General features: G+C 38.0%; 2 annotated features.

The window, feature by feature from the left end:
- Window positions 579-628: an enhancer, noted in NCBI's record as "active region_16608". NCBI's record gives its function as "activates an Ori minimal core promoter by ATAC-STARR-seq in GM12878 lymphoblastoid cells {active_cell/tissue: GM12878}" and the evidence as "EXISTENCE:reporter gene assay evidence [ECO:0000049][PMID:35858748]".
- Window positions 3,433-3,512: a silencer, noted in NCBI's record as "silent region_11994". NCBI's record gives its function as "represses an Ori minimal core promoter by ATAC-STARR-seq in GM12878 lymphoblastoid cells {active_cell/tissue: GM12878}" and the evidence as "EXISTENCE:reporter gene assay evidence [ECO:0000049][PMID:35858748]".

Genomic DNA, 4,624 nt, shown 5'->3' with positions numbered 1-4,624 from the left:
TACTCTGCAATTCTAAGATCACTGCCTCAACAATGAAGCAATTGTTTCCTGTCTCCACTTAGCAATTCCTCCCTCTCTTTCAGTTCTTTCTGCTTGCATGTTCTATTTATTTTAATGTATACCTTTGTGTAGAGCCTGTCTCTGAGTGGTTAGATACCCCGTTGATATGTGGCCTTCAAGGGGGAAAAGGGAGTGCAGCCTATTCCCATGACATCCTAAGGCTTTGTAGAGCCAAAAAAACCTTCTCAGGAACACCTAATCCTTGGGCTCTGTCCAAGTACCACAATCTCTCTGTACAACTGACATGGGCCACTTGGGACACTTGAGAGTTTTAGGTGTGTCTCTCTGAAGTCAGCCCCGGCCAAGCATGAGGCAAATGTGCCCGACCAAAGAAAATAAATTATGTGGACTCCAATTTTCAGCAGTTATGAAGTATTGAATTACACATGCAAAGAATTCACTTTGGGATTAACCCTTTGGAACCGAAACACAATCTTGTCACAATGCCTGAGAAGGGAGCATGCTCTGAGTGAGGCCTGACTTTCCAAAGACACAGAGGTTGCTGACCAGGAGACAGAGATGCTCAATGCAATAAGAATGGAGATAAATGCAAATGTCTTATGTGGGCATGGAAGAGGGTATATGTCGGGGTTCTGCCCTGTCTCTGGATAGGCTGTTGCTGGCATTGTAAAGTTTAAGGATTCACTGCAAAGGCCACTTCAGCACTTAACGGGAATGCATCTTAGCATAATTCACACAGTCCCTGTGGCTGCTTCTTCATTCAGATTTAGAGAAGTGGTTGAAAGCCACTGGAACTTGACTGAAATCACAACTACAGAACCCCTGAAACGGCATTCATCCTCCATGACTCATTGAGCGATAGAAAAGGACATCCTGTCCTACCCCTTTAAGAATTCCTAGTTCCCCATAACCGTCTGAAGCACTAAGCTGTGAGTACACGACATAGCTGAAATTTAACACATAAACCCTGGAGTAGAAAAACAAAACAAGGCCATTTGTTTTCCCCTATAAAGCTATTTATTTACCAAATGACCATAGAAAGCAAACCTCCAACAATAACAGGAAACAATCAATCTTGAAAAACTTAGGGAAAAATTTTTTTGGAGCAAAGTTAACTTTTTAATAAAGTAGGTGTCTTGGGTATGCAAAGCAGGATGTCAGGAAACAGGCAACCTTGCCCCTCTTCCCCTCAGGTTATTATCAGAAAATGTGTGATCTACAGGAGGGACACTGTTTTGGGACTGATAAGCTGTGTCTACATAAAGATCCCTCACTTATTTCACATGTGCCCTGGAGGAAATAGAACTGTACAACGATATCCCTGGGAGACACTGTGGACCTCATCCACTGCCCTCATATTATCCAATGAAGAAACTGAGTTGCTCAAAGTTGCAACAGATACAGCTAAAAGCAGTAGGACATTTTATGTAACTTATTTCTAAAACAACAAATCTCTAATCAGAGAAATATCTCTATGTCTCAGTTGCTCTTGCCTGTTCAGAGGGATGATAACTATCTTTTCAAGTACTTGCTATTTTGAGTTATATGGAATATTTTGAGACACATGTAGAGATCTGCTAAAATGATTTGAGTGATAATAACTGGGTGTATGTGTGTTAATATGTGAGAAAAAAGAGAAAGAAATGAATGAGAGGGAGAGATAAAGACAGGGAAATAGATGAAGTTTCTGACATCATATGATTGTTGGGTGGAGTAACTAATAAAAGTAATTGCTAAGCACGGTGAAATTAGACTGCTGTGTAAAGCTAAACCAGGATGAACCAAAATTTGCAAATATCATGAGACTTTTATTTTCAACAGGTGGCATTTTAGAATGCAAACTAGTAGCATGCAAGTGAGAGCGCGCTGTAAAGGGGAAGAGATGTGGGGATTTACACACTTAGGAAATCGGGGTGACTAGAAAACAATGTTTTATGTTTGCAGTCTTACAGATCCACTTATTGAGAGGAATGGCTGATTAGAAATATGCTTAGAAAATGCTTCTCTTATTTTTACTGGCAGAGGGTTAACGTAGGTTTCTACTTACAAGGTAAGAAAATCTGCTGTGAAAGGAAAAAGCCAACTGACACTGCTTGTGGACAAATGTGTGTGAGCCAAAAACTGAAATGAGGCAGGCAATAAAACCATATCAAAGCCCACCCGTTGCCCCTATCACAATATTCTTACCAAATTGTCTTGCCTTTATCAGGCCCACCCTCACTTATTTACTGAGATAAGAAAGAACTTTTTTGCTGGCAAGCACCCCAAGTTTGATTTATCATTCACAATAGGAAGACTCTGCCAAGTAAGCCTTCATAATTCCCAGCCCTTAAAATTATTATCATCATTGGGTTTAAAAATAAGGCCAGAGGTGGTGGATGTGTACGCAGTATGACTGGAAAGAAGCTGGTTTGTTGAGGCTGGTTCTCTCTGCCAAAAAAGTATCATAAAAGAGGTGCCTAGTTCATGTCAGACCTAAGGAAATATTTTCCCCAAGCTGTTTGCAGATAGCACGGGGTTTGTGTAGTGTGACAGTTGTCCTAAGAATATATTAATTCTCCTAAACAGGAGGCGCAGACTCAAGCATCCTCTCTGAATATAATGGTGATCTTATTTGCCTGACCAAGGAATAAAAATGTTCAACCACAAGACATTTCCAAAAAGGTTACTGTAATTTTGTGGCAATGTGAATTATTCTCTACCTGTCAGATAACTGATCAACAGCTACCTTTGAATATTAACAGGGTATGAGGAACTCAGGAATTTTCCCACAGTGAAGACTTAAATATAATCCCAACCCCACTTCTCCCAATCCTACCCCTTGCAAGAACTGTATACTTTTTAATGGTTTAATGGATGCACAATGAAGGCAAAATTGAAATGTGTGATGCAATAAATTTAGTGGAAATCAAAGATAGGTTTCCAGAAATCCTAACTTCCCAGCTGTACTTCAAAGTATTATAAAAGGGGCCAGATCTCAGATTCTCCCAGTTTAAGTCTTCACAGCTTTAGTTTGAAAAATAATTTGATTTTAAGTGAGAGCTTCCATTGGACATGTGCAGAATTCAGTGTGCACGTGTAATTTCGAGGTGAAGTTTTGGCTTGTTATCATTAAAAATAATCTTTAGTTTCTCTTTTTGTCTCCTTTGTTTGTTTGAACATACAGTGAAAAATAGCTGTAGAACTTTTTTGGTGGAGTGCACATATTATTTTTTTAAACCAGACAAAGGCATTTTGACCAATGTGTATTATGAGAGCAGATTTTATATAAATATATATGTATAAAATAAGCTCATTTGCACATGGCTCAAGGGAAGCTAAACTCACTATAGAAGCTTCTCTAATGTTTAGTTCAGCCTAGTTTTCAGATTTCAATATGTGTAGGGAAAATAAATGCAAGTGGAGAATAGTATAGGGAAGAGGGCTACATCCTGTAACTTGCATTTGTCTTGATATGATGCACAGAATAGAAACCGACTGAGTTTCTTTATCAGTCAGATACAGACCTGTTGACATTCTATCACAAGACACTGCCCAACAACAGCACACTTCCTTCAAAATGCCACTGAAACCAAAATATGTGACTCTTACTGTGTTTAAAACTATCGATGCCTTATCAATCAATGTATCTATCTATCTACCAATCTATCTAATCTATGTATCATCTATCATCTGTCTATCCTCTACTGTCTATAAACCTATTAATGCTCTTATTAATTCCAGAAATGATATACAGTAACTTACATAAGTATGTAAAATTGCAACATAATAAAGTAAAATTAAAGATTAAGTGTGTTTAGGGAACAGAACAAAGGTAAAATAACGGTAGGAAAGATAAGAAAGAGTCACAAGCGAGGTTAGTACATAAAATTTGTTCCCTAAGGGATTTTACACTTGCTAGGAGTGTCTAACCAATTAGACTGTATGCTTTCAGAAGCAACTGTAAATAAAAAAAAGTTACAAACTATTTTATAATTCATAGTGTCATAATATAATAAAATAGTTTTTCAGGAGGAACATAATTATGCATAGTTCTAGGACTAGAAAGAACTTTCTTTCATGAGGCCTCAAAAAGAGGGCAGAAAATGTAACCAATGCCTACCAATAGTATAATTCTCCAGCACAAGTTTCTAAGAACAACTGGACATAGTCTCAACATTCTTACAATATAATCACTCCATTCTCTGACTGATTGCTGGATACTCTTCAAAGGACTCAGCCCTTGAAACTCCTCCTCTCTGTCTATTTTCTCATCCCTTTGGTGGTCTCATTCAGATTGCAGATGTTAAATATCATCTTTATATGGATGACCCTAAAATGTATCTATCACAGGCTTCTCCCTTGAGCTCCAGACTCAAGATTTCCATTGAGTCTCATTGATGCTCAATAGGCATCTCAAACTTAATTTAACAAAAATAAAATATAGTTTTATCCCCCAAATCTGCTTCTTCCCCAAGCTCACCTTTCCAAATAAAATGTAACTCCATTACTTCAGGTATTAAGGCCCCAAACTTTACAATTATCCTTTCTGCCTCATTTTTTTCATACTGCACATTGATAATTTCTGTTAGCCCTTTCTTCAAGATGTCTTACATTGGACCAC

The sequence above is a fragment of the Homo sapiens genome, chromosome 2, assembly GCF_000001405.40.
Source record: "Homo sapiens chromosome 2, GRCh38.p14 Primary Assembly".
Taxonomy (NCBI): domain Eukaryota; kingdom Metazoa; phylum Chordata; class Mammalia; order Primates; family Hominidae; genus Homo; species Homo sapiens.
The sequence above is the reverse complement of the archived record's forward strand: the minus strand, read 5'-3'. Positions and strand labels throughout refer to the sequence as shown.